At 46.6% G+C, this 22,339-nt stretch overlaps 1 protein-coding gene across 1 annotated transcript in view; it reads right to left on the minus strand.

The window, feature by feature from the left end:
* Window positions 1-22,339, minus strand: part of RAB27A (RAB27A, member RAS oncogene family) — a 116,158-nt gene that overhangs the window by 91,205 nt on the left and 2,614 nt on the right. The window lies entirely within an intron of this gene.

Genomic DNA, 22,339 nt, shown 5'->3' on the forward strand with positions numbered 1-22,339 from the left:
GATAAGTGGAATAGGCTTGAGAGTCTAGAAATAAAATTATGCATCTATAGTCAAGATCTTTCAATGGAGAAAGAAGTTTCCTCAGCAAATGGTACTGGGAGAACTGGATATCTACATGCAAAAGAATGAAACTGAGGCCTGGCGCGGTAGCTCACGCCTGTAATTTCAATACTTTGGGAGGCCAACATAGGTAGAGCCCTTGAGCTCAGGAATTCCAGACCCAACTGGGCAACATGGTGAAACCCTGTCTCTACTAAAAATAGAAAAATTAGCCAGACGTGGTGGCTTGCACCTGTAGTCCCAACTACTCGGGAAGCTGAGATGGGAGGATCGCTTGAGCCCAGGAAGCGGAGGTTGCAGTGAGCCAAGATCGTGCCACTACACACCAGCCTGGGCAACAGAACAAAACCCTGTCTCCGAAAAAAAAAAAAAAAAAAAAAAAAGGAAGAAGAATAAGGAATTGGACTCTTACCAATACCATATATAAAATTACATGATACACAAAAATTAACTCAAAATGAATCAAATAGCTGAATATAAGAACTAAAACTCTAAAACTTTTAGAGGAAAACATAGGCATCAATCTTTATGACCCTGGGTTTGGCAATGATATTTCTTAGATTTGACACCAAAAGCACAAGCAACAGAAGAAAAGAGTAGATTAATTAGACTTCACCAAATTTTTTGTAAATGGTGCATAAAAGCACACTATCAACAGAGTGAAAACACAACCTACAGAATGAGAGAAAATATTTGCAAATCATATATATCTGATAAAATTATAGTATCAGAATATATAAAGAGCTGTAACTACTCAACAACAAAAAGACATAATCCAATTAAAAAGTGGGCATATGAATACAATTGAATATACATTTCTCCAAAAAAGACATAAAAATGGCCAACTTCAAATGAAAAGATGTTTAATGTCATTAGTCATTAAGAAAATGTGAATCAAAATCACAATGAGCTGCCACTTCAAACTCACTAGGTTGGAAAGAAAGAAAAAGCAAGAGAAAGAGAAAGAAGGAAGGAGAAGGAAAGGGAGGGAGGAAAGAAGGGTGATTTGGCAAGGACATGGAGAAACTGGGAATGTAAAATAGTGCAATCACTTTGAAAAAGTTTGGTGAGTCTTCAAAAAGTTAAACAGATGACCTAGCAAGCCTATTCCTAGAACTATGCCTAAAAGAACTGAAAACAAGCATCCAAACAAATATTTAATACTTGTACATAAGTGTTCATAGCAGCATTATTTACAACAGCCCAGAACTGGAGACAAATGGCCACCAAGGAATGAATAAACAAAATGTGGCACATCCATATAATGGGATTTTATTCAGCCATAAAGAGGAATAAAGTATTGATACATGTTACAACGTGGATGAACTTCAAAAACATTACACTAAGTGAAAGAAGTCAAACACAGAAGGTCACATATTGTATAATTCCACTTATATGAAACATCCACAGCAGGTAAATCCATAGAGACAGAAAGCAGACTAGTGGTTTCCAGAGGCTAGGGAGAGGGAGAAATGAGGTGTTGACTGCTTATTGCACACGAGGTTTCCTTCTGAGGTGATGAAACTGTCTTGGAACTAGATAGAAGTGGTATTTGCACAACATTGTGAATGTACAAAATGTCACAGAATTGTACACTTTAAAATGGCCAAGACTAATTTTTTGTGATGCAGATTTTGCTTCAATTTTTTTTTTTTAAAAGAACCAATACTTTTTTTTTTTTTTTGAGATAGAGTTTCACTCTTTCACCCAGGCTAGAGTGCAGCGGTGTGACCTCGGCTCACTGCAACCTCCGCCTTCCGGTTTCAAGCGATACTCCTGCCTCAGCCTCTCGAGTAGCTGGGACCACAGGCACCCGCCACCATGCCCAGTTGTTTTTGTATTTTTAGTAGAGACGGGGTTCCACCATGTTGGCCAGGCTGGTCTCGAACTCCTGACCTTGGGATCCAACCACCTTGGCCTCCCAAAGTGCTGGGATTACAGGTGTGAGCCACCGTGCCCAGCCCCAGTACTTCTTGATTCAAAACTTGGTGTGGGGCCTGACGCGGTGGCTCACACCTGTAAGCCCAGCACTTTGGGAGGCCGAGGTGGGCAGTCTGGAGTTCCAGACCAGCCTGGCCAACAGGGTGAAAACCCGTCTCTACTAAAAATACAAAAATTAGCTGGGCGTGGTGGCACATGCCTGTGGTCCCAGCTACTCGGGAGGCTGAGGCATGAGAATCACTTGAACCCGGGAGGCAGAGGTTCCAGTGAGCCTAGATGCCTAGATCGTGCCACTGCACTCCAGCTTGGGCAATAGAGCAAGACTCCATCTCAAAAACAAAAAAACAAAGAAAAACAAAACTTGGTCTGGGAAGGAAAAAGATGAGCCAGAAAGTAAAAGAGTGCTCAGAAAATGACAGTGACATGCAAAGGACACAGGATCCATCCTGAGGGAGGACTATTCCTCAGTTAAAGACTTATTTATTTTTAATTAGACTATAATTTTGCTTTTTTTTTGGCACAATGGAGCATGCTGAGAGCCTGGAGCCTCTGATGACATGTGGGTCTGAGGCCTGCTGCTGCCTATTCCCTACCGCCGGTCCCATGGTCCCTGCCCAGCTTTGCATTCCCTGCCTTGCTTCAGAGCAGTGACTGGGTCACCTTGGCTAGGGGAGGCCCACGTTTTGTCATCACCTTCCACCCTGGCAGAAACCTAGGTATGGATAGGTGCAGGAGGGTTCAGGGTTGGGCCCATATCCCAGGGCACTGTCAACCTAAAAAAAAGACATCAGAAAAAAATATTTCATAATATAATTATTTTATCTGGGAGTAAGCAAAAAGGATTATAACCTGGGATGCACAGTTATAGCAAGCCACAAATGCATCCAGAGAGGGGAGGGTAAAGGGAAGCCTTTATCGGTACAACAGAGAAGTTCATGTAAGCTACTTAGAAACAGTTTATTGGTACCAGAGGCTCAAAGCCAGAGTTACTAGTAGATCACTGGTAGAGAAGCCATTATCAGGCAAGCCTTCTTTTGAGATCATCTTATCTGAATTGCTGCAGTCCTAAAAAATGTCTAGTAAGAAATTGTGTCAAAGAAATACGTGCATGTGTGTGAAACATGCAAGCCGTGCAAAGCATAAGATGCATGAAGGACATGAGAGAATTTCTTGTGGGTTATTGCCTGGAAACAGCTTTTAGCTGTAGACATGCAAGCATGAGCTCCTCTCCTTTGTGCTCTCCTAGCTCCAATTTGTCTGGGTCTGAGTAAAGTGGACTTTATCCTGTAACTGCAACTTTCATAGCACCATGGGGTGATCAAGAAGGCAGCTGTCCCCTCCCTAATCTGACAGTAGCACAGCACATTCTGCAGGCCATTCAGCTGGGGCCTCTTACCAGTGCCATCCAACAACTGAGAACAAACCAGCATGGAAGGTACAGTTCCCTGGGCATTGTCCATTTGCATTGACTGGAACAGCCAGTTTATGAGAAGAGGAAATTGGCTTCCTTGTCCCCACCCAGGGCCCTGCATTTTCATTTGTGCTGGGCCCCACAAATTACGCAGCCAGCCCTGATAGTAGTAATGGATTGTAACCCACAAAATAGGAATCCATGAATCATGCTAGTACATCATTTCTGTATATTTCTACCAAATTGAATCTATGAAATAATAAAAAACCATCAACAAACCCAATTTAATAGACATTCTACAACACAGCAGGCCAGCATTCTTAAAAAATCCCAGTTGTGGCCAGGCACAGTGGCTCATGCCTGTAATCCCAGCACTTTGGGAGGCCGAGGTGGGCATATCATGAGGTCAGGAGATCGAGACCGTCCTGGCTAACACAGTGAAACCCCGTCTCTACTAAAAAAAATACAAAAAATTAGCTGGGCATGGTGGCAGGCAACTGTAGTCACAGCTACTTGAGAGGCTGAGGCAGGAGAATGGTGTGAACCCGGGAGGCAGAGCTTGCTGTCAGCCAAGATTGCACCACTGCACTCCAGCCTGGATGACAGAGCAAGACTCCGTCTCAAAAAAAAAAAAAAAAAAAGTCAGTTGTGGGCCGTATTGGGGAACCTGCCCCGATAGTCACATAGGTTCTTTTCTACTTTCCCTAAGCATCGGCCAGCTTGAGAAATAAAGGGACAGAGTACAAAAGAGAGAAATTTTAAAGCTGGGCGACCGGGGGAGACATCACATGTCGGTAGGTTCCGTGATGCCCCACGAGCTGCAAAAACCACCAAGTTTTTATTAGGGATTTTCAAAAGGGGAGGGAGTGTGTGAATAGGTGTGGGTCACAGACATCAAGTACTTCACAAAGTAATAGAATATCACAAGGCAAGTGGAGGCAGGGCGAGATCACAGGACCACAGGACTGGGGTGAAATTAAATTTGCTAATGAAGTTTCAGGCACCAGTGTCACTGATAACATCTTATCAGGAGACAGGGTTTTGAGAGCAACCAGTCTGACCAAAATTATTAGGCGGGAGTTTCTTCTTCCTAATAAGCCTGGGAGCGCTATGGGAGACTGGGGTCTATTTCACCCCTACAGTCTACAGGCCATAAAAGATGGGCACACCCAGGGGGGCCGTCTATAGACCTATACCCCCAGGTGCGTATTCTCTTTCCCAGGGATGTTCCTTGCTGAGAAAAAGAATTCAGCAATATTTCTCCCATTTGCTTTTGAAAGAAGAGAAATATGGCTCTGTTCTGCCTGGCTCACCAGCAGTCAGAGTTTAAGGTTATCTCTCTTAATCCCTGAACAATTGCTGTTATCCTGTTCTTTTTTCAAGGTGCCCAGATTTCATATTGTTCAAACACACATGCTGTATAATTTGTGCAGTTAATGCAATTATTACAGGGTCCTGAGGTGACATACATCCTCCTCAGCTGACAGGATTAAGAGATTAAAGTAAAGACAGGCATAGAAAATCACAACGGTATTGATTGGGGAAGTGATAAGTGTCCATGAAATTGTCACAATTTATGTTTAGAGATTGCAGTAAAGACAGGCACAAGAAATTATAAAAGTATTAATTTGGGGAACTAATAAATGTCCATAAAATCTTCACAATCCACGTTCTTCTGCCATGGCTTCAGCCGGTCCCTCCATTTGGGGCCCCTGACTTCCCGCAACAGGGCCGGCCACGGTGCCTCATGCCTGTAATCCCAGCACTCTGGGAGGCCAAGGTGGGTGAATCACCTGAGGTCAGGAGTTCAACACCAGCCTGGCCAACATGGCAAAACCCCGTCTCTACTAAAAATACAAAAATTAGCCGGGCATTGTGGCTCACACCTGTAATCCCAGCTACTCGGAAGGCTGAGGCAGGAGAATTGCTCCAACCCAGGAGGCTGAGTTGCAGTGAGCCAAGATCACACCACTGCACTCCAGCCTAGGTGACACAGTGAGAATCTGTCTCAAAAAAAAAAAAAAAAAAAGTCAGTTGTGAAAGGCAGTGACTGAGAAACTGGCTCCAGAATAAAGGAAACAAGAGACATGACAACTAAATTCAAATATGATTCTGGATTAGTTCTGGGACCAGAAAAAAACAAGTTTATCTTATTCTAAAGGACATTAATGGGACTTGGGAGAATTTGGATGATACATGAAATTAGATAATAATGTTATAGCAATCCTAATTTCTTTTTTTTTCTTTTTTTTTTTTGAGATGGAGTCTCACTCTGTCACCCAGGCTGGAGTGCAATGGCGCGATCTCAGCTCACTGCAAGCTCCGCCTCCTGGGTTCATGCCATTCTTCTGCTTCAGCCTCCCAAGCAGCTGGGACTACAGGCGCCCGCCACCACACCCGGCTAATTTTTTGTATTTCTAGTAGAGACGGGGTTTTACCACGTTAGCCAGGATGGTCTCGAGCTCCTGACCCCGTAATCCGCCCGCCTCGGCCTCCCAAAGTGCTGGGATTACAGGCATGAGCCACCGCGCCTGGCCAATCCTAATTTCTTGATCATTATATTGTGATTATGAAAGAAAGTATCTTTGTATTTAGGAATGAAATACTCAGGAACAAAAGGGCAACCTGCGTATGACTTACTCTCAAAAGATTCATGAAAATTATAATATGCTTGCGTGTGTGTATATATAAGTATACATAGACTGTCATGGGAAGCAAGTCGGGAGTGCAACCAGGGTGTCTTGACCCAGAGAGATCTGTGGTGATGGCAAACAGATACGGTATTCTGAAAGGAAAGACAAAAGGGGTGTTTCTTGGCCAGGCTTCATGGCTCACACCTGTAATTTCAGCACTTTGGGAGGCTGAGGTGGGCAGATCACCTGAGGTCGGGAGTTTGAGACCAGCCTGACCAACATGGAGAAACCCCGTCTCTACTAAAAATACAAAATTAGCCAGGCATAGTGGTACCTGCCTGTAATCCCAGCTACTCAGGAGGCTGAGGCAAGAGAATCGCTTGAACCCGGGAGGTGGAGGTTGCAGTAAGCCGAGAGTGTGCCATTGCACCCCAGTCTGGGCAACAAGAGCGAAACTCTGTCTCCAAAAAAAAAAATGGGGAGGGTGTTTCTTGACTTACATATAGTTTTCATAAAGGCAGGGGGCGAGGGCAGGATGGTAGGAAATCAAGAACTAGTGGATAGAAGGCTGATGTCAGTCTCTACAATGGAAATCATGGTCCCTCACAAGTTTACTGATCTAAGTCATTTCACAGACTTCATAGACTTAGAGCCCAGTGATTTAAATAGCTGTATCCACCCCTGGGGAAGGACTCTTCAATGCCACAAAAATATGCAATAACCATTCTCTTGCTCTTTTTCTCAAGAGACCCAAAGCCATTAACCAGGCAGATGTGCACTGGGGAAAGAAAAATACTCAGACTTTGATGGCCACTGGATACAGGCCCTAAGTTGACACTGGTACAAGCAGACTAGAAAATGCCACCGTGACCTTTCAGTTAAGAGTGGGAGTTCATGGAGGTTAAAGGATGAATGCAGCTTTGGACCAAACTAATCTAACAGGACCCACTTTGCAGGACTTTTTTCTCCTGGGCTCAAGCGATTCTCCTGCCTTAGCCTCCCAAATAGCTGGGATCACAGGCACAAACTACCACGCTCGGCTAATTTTTCTATTTTTGGTAGAGACAGGTTCAACATATTGGCCATTAAAATGTCATTTAAAATGACAATTTAAAAAATAGATGGATTATAGACTACCACAAGAGCAAAAAAACACTGGTCTGCCTTAACTGCAGCTGCTAGTTTGGATGCAGTATCATATTTTAATGACAGCTTTGAGATATAACTCACACACAATAAAGTTCACCCCTTAAAAGTGTACAATTCAGTGGTTTGCATGCAGTGTCTTTATGACAGCTTTGAGATATAATTCACACACAATAAAGTTCACCCTTTAAAAGTGTATGATTTGGTGGTTTTTAATATATTCACAAAGTTATACATTGATCACCACTATCTACTTCCAGAACATTTTCATCACCCTAAAAATCTTTTTTTTTTTTTTTTTTTGAGGCGGAGTCTCACTGTTTCCCAGGCTGGAGTGCAGTGGCATGATCTTGGCTCACTGCATCCTCCAGCCCCCTGGGTTCAAGCAATTCTCCTCCCTCAACGTCCTGAGTAGCTGGGACTACAGGCGTGTGCCACCATACCTTGCTAATTTTTGTATTTTCAGTAGAGATAGGGTTTCACCGTGTTGGCCAGGCTGGTCTTGAACTCCTGACCTCATGTGATCCACCCACCTCTGCCTCCCAAAGCATTGGGATTATAGACATGAGCCACCATGCCCAGTTCATCACCCTAAAAATAATCCCCACGGCCGGGGGCAGTGGCCTGGCCAATATGGTGAACCTGTCTCTACCAAAAATAGAACAATTAGCCGACCATGGTAGTTTGTGCCTGTGATCCCACCTATTCGGGAGGCTAAGGCAGGAGAATCGCTTGAACCCGGGAGGCAAAGGTTGCAGTGAGTCAAGATCACACCACTGCACTCCAGCCTGGGTGACAGAGGGAGACTCTGTCTCAAAAAAAAAAAAAAAAGTCAGAGTGAGACCTCATCTCAAAAACAACAACAACACCCGCCGCCACGCCTGACTGGTTTTGGTGGAGACGGGGTTTCGCTGTGTTGGCCGGGCCGGTCTCCAGCCCCTAACCGCGAGTGATCCCGCCAACCTCGGCCTCCCGAGGTGCCGGGATTGCAGACGGAGTCTCGTTCACTCAGTGCTCAATGGTGCCCAGGCTGGAGTGCAGTGGCATGATCTCGGCTCACTACAACCTACACCTCCCAGCCGCCTGCCTTGGCCTCCCAAAGTGCCGAGATGGCAGCCTCTGCCCGGCCGCCACCCCGTCTGGGAAGTGAGGAGCGTCTCTGCCTGGCCGCCCATCGTCTGGGATGCGAGGAGCCCCTCTGCCTGGCTGCCCAGTCTGGAAAGTGAGGAGCGTCTCCGCCCGGCCACCATCCCATCTAGGAAGTGAGGAGCGCCTCTTCCCAGCCGCCATCACATCTAGGAAGTGAGGAGCGTCTCTGCCCGGCCGCCCATCGTCTGAGATGTGGGGAGCGCCTCTGCCCCGCCGCCCCATCTGGGATGTGAGGAGCACCTCTGCCCGGCCGAGACCCCGTCTGGGAGGTGAGGAGCATCTCTGCCCGGCCGCCCCGTCTGAGAAGTGAGGAGACCCTCTGCCTGGCAACCACCCCGTCTGAGAAGTGAGGAGCCCCTCCGTCCGGCAGCTGCCCCGTCTGAGAAGTGAGGAGCCTCTCCGCCCGGCAGCCACCCCATCTGGGAAGTGAGGAGCATCTCCGCCCGGCAGCCACCCCGTCCAAGAGGGAGGTGGGGGGGGGTCAACCCCCCGCCCGGCCAGCCGCCCCATCCGGGAGGGAGGTGGGGGATCAGCCCCCCCGCCCGGCCAGCCGCGCCATCCGGGAGGGAGGTGGGGGGGTCAGCCCCCCGCCTGGCCAGCCGTGCCGTCCGGGAGGGAGGTGGGGGGGTCAGCCCCCCGCCCGGCCAGCCGCCCCGTCCGGGAGGTGAGGGGCGCCTCTGCCCGGCCGCCCCTACTGGGAAGTGAGGAGCCCCTCAGCCCGGCCAGCCGCCCTGTCCGGGAGGGAGGTGGGGGGGTCAGCCCCCCGCCTGGCCAGCCGCCCCGTCCGGGAGGGAGGTGGGGGGGTCAGCCCTCCGCCCGGCCAGCCGCCCCGTCTGGGAGGTGAGGGGCGCCTCTGCCCGGCCGCCCCTACTGGGAAGTGAGGAGCCCCTCTGCCCGGCCAGCCGCCCCGTCCGGGAGGGAGTTGGGGTGTCAGCCCTCCGCCCGGCCAGCCGCCCCGTCTGGGAGGTGAGGGGCGCCTCTGCCCGGCCGCCCCTACTGGGAAGTGAGGAGCCCCTCTGCCCGGCCAGCCGCCCCGTCCGGGAGGGAGGTGGGGGGGTCGGCCCCCCGCCCGGCCAGCCGCCCCGTCCGGGAGGGAGGTGAGGGGGTCGGCCCCCCGCCCGGCCAGCCGCCCCGTCCGGGAGGGAGGTGGGGGGGGTCAGCCCCCCTGCCCGGCCAGCCGCCCCGTCCGGGAGGTGAGGGGCACCTCTGCCCGGCCACCCCTACTGGGAAGTGAGGAGCCCCTCTGCCCGGCCAGCCGCCCCGTCCGGGAGGGAGGTGGGGGGGTCAGCCCCCCGCCCGGCCAGCCGCCCCGTCCGGGAGGGAGGTGGGGGGGGTCAGCCCCCCTGCCCAGCCAGCCGGCCCGTCCGGGAGGTGAGGGGCGCCTCTGCCCGGCCGCCCCTACTGGGAAGTGAGGAGCCCCTCTGCCCGGCCACCACCCTGTCTGGGAGGTGTGCCCAACAGCTCATTGAGAACAGGCCAGGATGACAATGGCGGCTTTGTGGAATAGAAAGGCGGGAAAGGTGGGGAAGAGATTGAGAAATCGGATGGTTGCCGTGTCTGTGTAGAAAGAGGTAGACATGGGAGACTTTTCATTTTGTTCTGCACTAAGAAAGGTTCCTCTGCCTTGGGATCCTGTTGATCTGTGACCTTACCCCCAACCCTGTGCTCTCTGAAACATGTGCTGTGTCCACTCAGGGTTAAATGGATTAAGGGCGGTGCAAGATGTGCTTTGTTAAACAGATGCTTGAAGGCAGCATGCTCGTTAAGAGTCATCACCACTCCCTAATCTCAAGTACCCAGGGACACAAACACTGCGGAAGGCCGCAGGGTCCTCTGCCTAGGAAAACCAGAGACCTTTGTTCACTTGTTTATCTGCTGACCTTCCCTCCACTATTGTCCCATGACCCTGCCAAATCCCCCTCTGTGAGAAACACCCAAGAATTATCAATAAAAAAATAAATTTAAAAAAAAGAAAAAAAAAAGTCATCTCCACTAGTAATCATTCTCCATCCCCCCTTCATTCAACCCCTGTCAGCCACTAATCTACTTTCTGTCTCTAGACATTTACCTGTTCTAGACATGTCATACAAATGAAAACATACCAATAGGTGCCATCTTGTGCATGGCTTATTTCGTAATGTATTCTAATTTTTTCCATGTTATAGCACATACTTCATTTATCTTCTTGGCTGAATAATATTCCATTATACGGAAATACCACTTATTTATCCATTCATCAGTTAATGGACACTTGGGTTTTTTCCACTTTTTGGCTATTATGAATAATGTGATGAACATTCATTTACCAGCTTTAGTGTGAACATATATATATATATATATGGTGTGTGTGTATTTTGTTTGGTTTTGTTTTTGCAGTTGCAAGATTTCATAGAGTGAAAACGGAGCTCCCATACAAAGGGAGGGGACCCAAAGAGGGTAGCAGTTGCTGGCTGGAATGCCTGAGTTTATATCCCAATCATTGTCCTTCCCACTGTGCTCTCAGGCGATAGATGATTGGCTATTTCTTTTCCTCCTGTTTTTGCCTAATTAGCATTTTAGTGAGATCTCTTTACTACCTGATTGGTCAGGTGTGAGCTAAGTTGCAAGCCCCATGCTTAAAGGTGGATGCAGTCACCTTCCCAGCTAGGCTTAGGGATGCTTAGTCAGCCTAGGAAATCCAGCTAGCCCTGTCTCTCAGTCCCTACTCCACAGGAAAACCCAAGTGCTTTTGGGGAGGTTGGCCGACAACCATTCTAACTGCTTCCTGCTGAACTGGGGCATGGTAGGGGCTGTGCAGTTGAGATTTCCTCGGGAGAGGTGACTTTGATGTCATTAACATTGGAGCATGGGCTAGCAGGCTGGTCCAGGGGTCCACGGTAGATCTTAGTCATGGACTGCATCTGGGGCTCCATTTGAAGAACCATTTGTAGCTTTACAGCTTCGATTCTGGAAGAGACAAACTTAACAAGGAGGTTAAAGATACAGGGTCCAAAGAGGAGTAACAATATTATAGCTGCTAGAGGTCCCAAGAAGGGGAGAATCCAGAGCATCCATTGGCTGAGGAGGCCCCAAGTCCGGTGTTTTGAAGCTCCTCTGCTCTACGTTGTATTTGATCTTGAATTTAACTTTCTTGGTGACAATTCCAGATTGATTAACATAATAACAGCATTCTTCTCCTAAAAATAAACAGATTCCCCCTCTTTCAGTGGTTAGCAAGTCTAAAACTCTTTGATTTTGAAGGACTACTGCTGCTAGGAAGTTAAGTTGATCTTGCTCGGTGACCAGGGAATCGGCGACCTGTTCCATGTCACCATTTATTTCTTGAAATAGTTTGTAGTAGAACTGAGTACAGGTTGTGATACCGCCAGTGCCAGTACCTATTCCGCCTAGCACTCCTGCTCCAATAACAAAAGGAAGAATGGGTACTCTTTTGTTGCAGGGGTTAGGTATGACATGATTGTATGAATCTTGTTCAGTGTAGATGGTCATGGGGGGCACTAAGAATGACAGGAAGCACATAGATTCTGAAGAGCCATTCAAACAACAATAGGCTGAGGTACCACAGACAAAAAATATTCCTGAGGGTAGGCAGACTATTCGTGGGGGGGAGTTACCCACCTGATGCATTGGGAGTTGGTTGTGTCTATCGTATTGCTAAATTTTACACAGGTGAGGTTTGAGGTATGGGTTATTTCCAGATTGGAAACAAGAGGTCCTACTAAAACGGAAGTGGTGTTTATGTGTTGAAGTTGTTCCCTTGTTCAGGTACAGGGATTGAAATGTATGGCCTTAAGTGCAGAGGGAGGCACATCCAACAGTTAGTAGGGTTTTGGGCCGAGACCTCATGAAACCCAGTGAGGGTGGTATTAAATAGGCTTACCAGGCGAGTATGGGTACGGAGGGTTTCATGTAGTTTTGAGAGATCTAGTCCTTTGTAGGGGCTAGGCGTGCTATGTACTCAGGTCAGTTGGGAGATTACTTCCTTTACGTGTTTTTCTCTTGCCTGATCTTGAACTCCACCCCTATCAGACATACCAGTATGGGTGAACTAAGTCCAACAGACAGTGGCTCCAAGTCCTCCAGGACAACTAGGATTAATCATTTTCCCTGTCCAATAATGAGTATTTGCATGCATGCAAAGAGTGGCAGAGTTATAGCAGTTGTGGGGCATATGGGTGTGGGCGGTGAAGGCGGGGTTTCCCTTAGATAAACTCCTATACGATGGGGCATCAATATGTCTGGGACGCCGCATTCTCCATAGAAACGCTTGGTAAGGGGAGCTACTGGTCCTACAGTGGCATGGAGAGGGTGCAGTGAGACTGAAAGGTGGTGAGAGAACAGTAAAGAGAAAAATACAATAAGGGAGGGCCATGGGGATTTACGATTTTAGTTACTTTCCTCACGGTTGTTGCTTGAAGAGCAGGCACAGATCCTCTAGAGGTTCAAAGAAATAGCTAGCGTTGTCTCCTGGATTTTCGGGTTCCTTCGGCAGTATCCAGGGTTTGATTCGAGTGTGATGTATCCAAGACTCCACTCCAGCCACTTTAACCGCAGTTGGGATAGATAAAATGACTGGGTAGGGTCCTCCCCAGGATGTGTCTAGGGATGGGGAATTAGAGGGAAGGGACTTGACTAATACCATGACACCAGGGTGGAATATTTCTTTTCCCTCCTCTCGGGGACAGGCTCCTTGTAATGTTTTAAGAACTTGTTGATATTTGGCTAAGGAGGTGATGTCTGCAACTAAGTTGGCCATCTCTTGGTCAAGCAGAAGGTCATTGGTTAGGAAGGACCGTCCATACAGCATTCTGTATGGGCTAAGTCCTGCTTTTTGGGGAGAGTTTTGGATTCTTAGTAAGGCTATAGACAACAGAGCAGACCATGCGAGGTGGGTTTCCTGGGTTAGCTTGTTTAGATGTCGTTTGAGTGTTTCATTTTCTCAACCTTCCCTGAGGATTGTGGCCTCTAGGTGCAGTGTAAGTGATATTCTATACCTAACGCCTGGGATACTCCCTGGGTTACTGTGGCCTTGAAAGCAGGACCATTGTCACTCTGTAAGCCTCAGGGAAGTCCGAATCTGGGAATTACTTCATGAACTAGTGCCTTTATTACCTCTTGGAACTTTTCTGTCCTACAGGGGAAGGCCTCTGCCCAACCAGTGAAAGTATCTACCCAGACTAGTAGACACTGAAATCCCTGTGATTTTGGCATGTGGATAAAATCTAGTTGCCAGTCTTCTCTTGGGTAATTGCCTGTTCTTTGTTCTCCTGAAGGAGCTTGGCGATAAGGCAGGGGATTATTTCTTTGGCACACTTCACAGGCCCTGACTATCTGCTTGATAGTTTTGAAAAGGCCTGGTCCAGTAAATAATGATTTGGCTATCTGATGGGTGCTATCAATGCCTAAGTGAAAGGTTTGCTGAAGGGTTTTAAGTAATTTCCATTGGTTAGCTGCCAGCAAAAGTATTTTTCCTTCTTCAGTGGCTAGCCATCCTGAGGGGAGGAAACTATGTCCTCGTGAGGTTCCCCATTCTATTTCTTCTTCTGAGTACTGGGGCTTGGTTTCCCGGAGGGGATTACCCCATACTACGGGTCCTTTTATAAGCATTTCTAATGGAGGGTCCTGCCTTGCGGCTCTTTTGGCTTCAATATCCTCTTGGCGGTTCCCTTCTATTTCCCTTTCCTTTCCTTTCTGATGACCCCGGCAGTGTAAGACTGTCACTTCTTTAGGTTGCTGTACAGCGAATAATAATCTCCTAATGGCTTCCTGATGTTTGATAGGTGTTCCCTCAGAAATTAGGAATTCCCCTTCTCTCCATATTGCTGCATGGGCATGGAGGACTAGGTAAGCATACTTAGAGTCTGTATATATATTTACCCTTTTTCCTTCTCCTAATTCTAGTGCCCGAGTGAGGACTATTAGTTCTGCCAGCTGAGCACTAGTTCCCGGAGTGAGGAGATTACTTTCAAGTATTCCATTATCACTGACCACTGCATACCCTGCTTTTTGAAGTCCTTTTTCTACAAAGGAACTTCCATCAGTATACAAGTTGAGGTCAGGATCAGTCAAGGGAACCTCTAAAGGGTCCCCCTCGAGCGGTGTAGGTTTGAGCAATTACTTGTTGACAGTTATGTTCTATCTTTTCTTCATTGTCCGGAAGAAATGGGACTGGGTTAAGAGTTGCACAAATGCGCAGTCGCAGCACTGGCCCTTCAAGTAATAGAGCCTGATATTTAAGTAAACGGTTGTCTGACAGCCACAAGTCTCCTTTAGCAGTCAGTATGCCGTTCACATCATGAGATGTCCACACAGTAAAATCTCTTCCCTGTATTATTTAAACTGCTTCAGATACTAAGACTGCTACTGCTGCCACTACCCATAAACAATGAGGCCAACCCTTTGCCACTACATCAATTTCCTTATTCAGGTATGCCACGGGTTGCAAGCTCGTCCCTCGGACCTGTGTAAGGACTCCTAGAGCTATTCCTGGTTTTTTTATGACATATAAAGAAAAGTCTTGCCCCATCGGCAAGCTTAACACTGGGGCTTGGGTTAGGGCCTTCTTTAGGGCCTGGAAAGCCGCTTCTGCTTCAGGTGTCCATCTTACTAAATGGGTATTGACTTTCCAAGTTTCCTTAATTAGTGTATACAATGGTCTGTCTATTTCACCGTACCTGGGAATCCATATTCGACAGAAACCTGTTATGCCAAGGAACCCTCTTAGTTGCTTTAGAGTTTTGGGATGAGGATAAGCCAGTATAGGCTGGATATGTTCCTCACTGAGGGCCCTGGTGCCTTTGGATAATTTTAGCCCTAAGTATTAAACCTGCTGAGAGCAGAGCTGAACTTTTGGTTTGGAAACCTTGTAGTCACAGGCAGCAAGGAAATTTAAGAGCGCTTGGGTGGCTTGATGGCACAAGGTTTCTGAATGGGCAGCTAAAAGTAAATCATCCATGTACCAAAGGACAAGAGTGTCCAGGTATGAGAACTGGCTTAAGTCTCGGGTTAATGCCTGGCCAAATAGATGGGAGCTATCCCTGAACCCTTGGGGTAAAACAGTCCAGGTGAGTTGAGATGTTGGGTTCAAAGGATCTTCAAAGGCAAACAAGAATTGAGAGTCAGGATGTACAGGGATACAGAAAAAGGCATCCTTAAGGTCCAGGACTGTAAACCACTCTGCTTCCTCTGGTATTTGGGAAAGCAGAGTATAAGGGTTAGGTACAGCTGGGTGTAGATGGACAATGGCCTCATTGATAATCCCGAAATCTTGCACTAACCTCCACTGTCCATTGGGTTTCTGTACTCCTAAAATTGTAGTATTGCAGGGGCTACTGCACGGTTTTACTAGGCCTTGGGCTTTTAGGTCCTTAACAATTTTTTGGAGTCCTTGTTGGGCCTCGGGTCTAAGGGGGTACTGCCTTTGGTAGGGAAAGGAGGCAGAATCCTTTAGTTTAACTCGAACAGGACGGGCATTCTTTGCTCGTCCATATTGTCCTTCTGTTACCCAGACTTCAAGCAGGGGACAACAAACGGGTGTTCCTTCTCCTATGTTCAGGTGTATAATGGCCCCTGTTTTTGCTAGAATGTCTCTCCCTAACAAGGGTGTGGCAATTTCAGGCATAATTAGAAAAGCATGTGAAAAGAGTAAAGTTCTCCAGTCACAACTTAGTGGCTGGGAGAAGTATCTAGTGACTGGCTGTCCTAGGACCCCTCAGATAGTGACAGATCTGGAGGACAGTTGTCCAGGACAGAAGAGTAAGACTGAGAAGGCCACGCCAGTGTCCAGGAGACAGTTAACCTCCTGGCCCTCAATGGTCAAGCACACCTGGGGCTCTGTGAGGGTGATGGCATGGGCTGGCACTTGCCCCGGGCACCCTCAGTCCTGCTGCTGGATCATCTGGCTAGTGGCTTCTGACTCAGAGGACCTTCATCCCCTGGGGCAGTGGGCCTTCCAGTCATTCCCTTGACATAAGGGGCATGGACGAGGGGGTGGCTTATTTCTATTTGGACAATCTTTTTTAAAGTGTCCTTGTAGACCGCACTGAAAGCAAGCCCTATTAGGCATTCGATTTGCCCAGCTTTTCCCTTTTCCAGAGCCTCCAAAGTCTGCTTGCCTGAGGGCCATGACTAAAGCAATGGCCTTTTTTTAAATCCCATTTGTCCCATTCCACCTGCTCCTCCTGATCTCTATTATAAAAAACCGAGGTTGCCAAGTTCAATAGGTTTTCTAAGTTTTGCTCCGGGCCTAAGGCAGACTTTTGAAGTTTCTTTCTAATGTCTGCAGCTGACTGAGTGATAAACTTATCCTCTAAGATTAGTTGGCCTTCAATATAATCAGGTGACAGAGAGGTATGCTTCCTCAATGCCTCCCTTAGTCTCACCAGAAAGGCGGTAGGATTTTCTTCCTTTCCCTGTGTTACAGTGGACATCATTGCCAATAATTCATAGGCTTCTTCCTAGTTTTCCTTAGTCCTTCTAATACGCAGGTTAGCAAATGTCTGCGGCACCAATCTCCATATCCTGATTCTGTGTCCCACTGAGGGTCTACACTGGGAACTGACTGCTGGCCTGTGGGGAATTTTTCTCTTTCCTCTGTTGTCACCCTATCATTGACCTGACTGAGATACCAGAGATCGCCAAACTCTCAGGCTGCAGTTATGGCAGCACTTCTCTCATTTGGAGCTAGTGTCTGATTTAGCAGTAACATTGTATCTCTCCATGTCAGATCAAAGGACTGTCCTAACCCTTGTAAAACCTCAACATAGCCATCAGGGTTATCTAAGAATTTACCTAGGTCTATTTTAATTTGCTTTAAGTCTGAGAGAGAAGAAGGTACACGCACTCTGGCTGGGCCGAATTCTCCTCCCACTGCTTGGAGTGGGCATAATCGGGGAAAATTGCACTCTGTGGTTCATTGTTTACCCCTTTGTCTATCTCCTTTTGGACAGTTTGGGTTGAAGGGGGGTCCTTATTAGTTGGGGAAGGAGTCGAGGGGACGCTGGGGTAGGGAGGTAGACTCTGAGGGCTTCCCGTAGGGCATAAATCACACTTTTTACATAATTGTGAGTTGTCTCTTAATGAAAAGAAAGTTTGTACATATGGCACTTCACTCCTTATGCCTTCTTTTCTACAAAAGAGGTGTAGCTGTAAGCTAGTGTTATAATTTATACTTCCCTCAGGAGGCCAGGTTTCTCCCCCTTGAAGAGGATATCGTGGCCAGGTGGTACTGCAGAAGAATATAAGTCGTTTATTTCTTAGCATGTGAGAGTCCAGTTGGTCCCAATTCTCCAGAATACATCTCAGGGGCGTTTCTGCCTTGGGGGGAACGTTTCCCATTGCTTTGGAGATCCCTTCGTGGTCACCAAATGTTACTGGGGGTCCTTACTCCCAGAGCTCCCGATAGTGGCAGGCTGCTTCCAAGACGGTGGCAAGCCTCGTGTTCTCTGACCTGGGGTTCTTGGCCTCACGGATTCCAAGGAATGGAATCTTGGGCCATGCGGTGAGTGTTATAGCTCTATTAGAAGCCGTGGGTCACGGAAGAGAACCGTGGAACCCAGTGACTAGTGTTCAGCTCGATTAGGACGAACCCAGGCTCTTAGCCGTGCAGGAACAATGGCAAGCCTTCAGTCCGATCAGGAGTGGCAATGGGCGCCTCGCTGGATCAGGAGCACAGCAGACACCCTGCTGGATCCGGAGGGATGGAAGTCAGCGGCGGGTCTGCGACAGCGGCAAACAACAGGGGTGGACGGCGAGCAAAAGCTCAGCTGGAGCCGTAACAAATATGGACCAGAAGACTGCAGAAGCAAGACTTAATAGAGTGAAAACAGAGCTCCCATACAAAGGGAGGGGACCCAAAGAGGGTAGCCCTGAACATATATTTTCAATTATCTTGGGCATATGCCTGTAAGGGGAATTGCTAGGCCATATAGTAGCTCTACGTTTAACCATTTGAAGAACTGCCAAACTTTCCCAAAGTGACTGCACCATTTTACTTTCCAACCAGTAGTGTATGAAGCTTCCAATTGTTTCACATCCTCAACAGCACTTGTAATTTTCCATCTTTTTGACTGCAGTCATCCTAGTGAACATGAAATGGTAACTCAGTGTGGTTTTGTTTTCAACGAATGCAATATCTTCACCAGGAAAAAAAAAAACTCAGCCTCTGGCACTTGGTATGTAACAACTAAACTGGCATCCTTTTCAAAAGGGGGATCAAAAGCAGCTTACTTTAACTTGATGTGTTAGGATTATTCCTCAAATGTATTAACATTATGTATTCCTGTCACGTGACTTGACTGTGCATCCTATGAGAAGAGTCCATGTCCCTTGCCTTGATGACTTTAGGCTTGAGCATGTGACATGCTCTAAGACAAAATATGAGAAGATGTGATAATGTGCCACAATTGAGCAGAAACTTACAACTGCTCTCCATCTCTCTCTCTCTCCTACACTCTGTCATAGCCCTGACAGAGGCTGCTCCTTGAGCCCCGGTCCCAGAATGAGAAGACACAAACAACAGAATTCCAGTCTAGAGCTAAGCAAAGCCAAACCTCTTACCCAGCAGACATTTGGTATTTAAATTAAAATTTTTATAACTACTTTTAAGTGCATAGGAAAAAATCTTGCCAAGCACAGTGGCTGACGCCTAGAATCCTAGTGCTTTGGGAGGCCAAGGGAAGAAGATCGCTTGAGTCCAGGGGATTAAGACCAGACTAGGCCACAGAGTGAGACCCCATTTCTACAAAGATTTGTTTTAAATAAGCCAGATGTAGTTGTGTACAACTATAGTCGATGAGACGAGCGGAATCACGTGAGCCCAGGAGTTCAAGGTTATAGCGAGCAATGATGATACTACACTCAAGCCTGGGTGACAGAGCGAGACCCTATCTCTTTAAAAACAAAAAACACAAAGAAAACCTCAAAAGATCATACTAAATTGTTAAAGGTACTGAATAAATCCATTTATACAACAATAATTTTCACTTTTCACTTTGTTCATTTTGTAATATTAGAATGCTTTAAGGAACATATAGTACTTTTGTAATTTCTTCATTTTCTATTTTTAAAAATTACCTATGCTACGCCAGGCGCAGTGGCTCACGCTTGTAATCTCAGCACTATGGGAGGCCAAGGCAGGGGTATCACTTCAGGTCAGGAGTTGAAGAGCAGCCTGGCCAACAGGGTGAAACCCCGTCTCCACTAAAAATACAAAAATTACTTCGGGAAGCCGAGGCGGGCGGATCACGAGGTCAGGAGATCAAGACCATCCTGGCTGACATGGTGAAGCCCTGTCTCTACTAAAAATACAAAAACTTAGCCGGGAGTGGTGGCAAGCACCTGTGGTCCCAGCTACTCAGGAGGCTGAGGCAGGAGAATAGTGTGAACCCGGAAGGTGGAGGTTGCAGTGAGCTGACATCGTGCCACTGCACTCCAGCTTGGGCAACAGAGCGAGACTCCATCTCAATAAATAAATAAATAAATAAATAAATAAATAAATAAATAAATAAACCGGGTGTGGTAGCAGGCACCTGTAATCCCAGCTGCTCGGGAGGCTGAGGCAGGAGAATCACTTGAACCTGGGTGGGAGAGGTTGCAGTGAGCCAAAATCACGCCATTGCACTCCAGCCTGGGCATCACAGCGAGACTGTATCTCAAAAAAAAAAAAAAAAAAATTACCTATGCTGGTCTCCACCTAACATAGCTGAGATTAAATTATAATGAATTTACATTTTAAGAAAAAGGATATCAATATAAAAACATGTTGATTTAGATAAAGAACTTTGTACATATGTGATTACATTTATAGATCTCATTGAAAACACAAGCTTAATGGAAGCATTCCCTTTGAAAACCGGCATAAGGATGCTCTCTGTCACTATTCATATTCAACACAGTACTGGAAGTACTGGCCAGGGAATCAGGCAAGAGAAGAAAGAAAGGGTATTCAAATAGGAAGAGAGGAAGTCAAATTGTCTCTGCAGATGACATGATTGTGTATTTAGAAAACCCCACTGTCTCCACCCAAAAACTCCTTAAGCTGATAAGCAACTTCAGCAAAGTCTCAGGATACAAAATCAATGTGCAAAAATCACAAGCGTTCCTATACACCCTTAACAGACAAACAGCCAAATCATGAGTGAACTCCTATTCACAACTGCTACAAACAGAATAAAATGCTTAGGGATACAACTTACAAGGGATGTGAAGGACCTCTTCAAGGAGAACTACAAACCACTGCTCAAGGAAATAAGAGAGGACACAAACAAATGGAAAAACATTCCATGCTCATGGATAGGAAGAATCAATCATGAAAATGGCCATACTGCCCAAAGTAATTTATAGATTCAATGCTATTACCATCAAGCTACCAATGACTTTCTTCACAGAATTAGAAAAAAATACTTTAAATTTCATGTAGAACCAAAAAAGAGCCCATATAGCCAAGGCAACCCCAAGCAAAAAGAACAAAGCTGGAGGCATCAAGCTACCTGACTTCAAACTATACAAAAAGGCTATGGTAACCAAAACACCATGGTACTGGTACCAAAACAGAGACATAGACAAATGGAACAGAACAGAACTCAGAAATACCACCATACATCTACAACCATCTGATCTTTGACAAACCTGAGAAAAACAAGCAATGGGGAAAGGATTCCCTATTTAATAAATGGTGCTGGGAAAACTGGCTAGCCATATGCAGAAAACAGAAACTGGACCCCTTCCTTACACCTTATACAAAAATTAACTCAAGATGGACTAATAACTTAAATGGAAAACCTAAAACCATAAAAAGTCTAGAAGAAAACCTAGGCAATACCATTCAGGACATAGGCACGGGCAAAGACTTCATGACAAGGCCACCAAAAAGCAATTGCAACAAAAGCCAAAATCGACAAATGGGATCTAATTAAAGAGCTTCTGCCTAGCAAAAGAAACTATCGTGAGAGTGAACAGGCAACCTACAGAATGGGAGAAAATTTTCGTAATCTATCCATCTGACAAAGGGCTAATATCCAGAATCTACAAGGGACTTAAACAAATTTACAAGAAAAAAACAACCCCATCAAAAAGTGAGTGAAGGATATGAACAGACACTTCTCAAAAGAAGACATTTACGCAGCCAACAAACTTATGAAAAAAAGCTCATCATCACTTGTCATTAGAGAAATGCAAATCAAAACCACAATGAGATACCATCTCATGCCAGTTAGAATGGTGATCATTAAAAAGTCAGGAAACAACAGATGCTGGTGAGGCTGTGGAGAAATACGAACGCTTTTACACTGTTGGTGGGAGTGTAAATTAGTTCAACCATTGTGAAGACAGTGTGGCAATTCCTCAAGGATCTACAACCAGAAATGCCATTTGACCCAGCAATCCCATTACTGGGTATATACCCAAAGGATTACAAATCATTCTACTATAAAGACACATGCACGGCCAGGCGCGGTGGCTCATGCCTATAATCCCAGCACTTTGGGAGGCCGAAGCAGGTGGATCACGAGGTCAGCAGATTGAAACCATTCTGGCCAAAATGGTGAAACCCCATCTCTACTAAAAATACAAACATTAGCTAGGTGTGGTGGTGCACACATGTAGTCCCAGCTACTACGTAGGCTGAGGCAGAACTGCTTGAACCTGGGAGGCGGAGGCAGAGGTTGCAGCAAACCAATATTGCGCCACTGCGCTCCAGCCTGGGCAACAGAGCCAGACTCCGTCTCAAAAAAAAAAAAAAAAAAAGAATTTATGTACTTTGTAGGGACATGGATGAAGCTGGAAACCATCATTCTCAGCAAACTAACTAACACAGGAACAGAAAACCAAACACCACATGTTCTCACTCATAAGTGAGAGCTGAACAATGAGAATACATGGACACAGGGAGGGGAACATCACACACTGGGGCCTGTCGGGGGCGGGTGGGGGGCAAGGGGAGGGAGAGCATTAGGACAAATACCTAATGCCTGCAGGGCTTAAAACCTAGATGACGGGTTGA

Source organism: Homo sapiens, chromosome 15, assembly GCF_000001405.40.
Source record: "Homo sapiens chromosome 15, GRCh38.p14 Primary Assembly".
NCBI classification, from domain to species: Eukaryota; Metazoa; Chordata; class Mammalia; order Primates; family Hominidae; genus Homo; species Homo sapiens.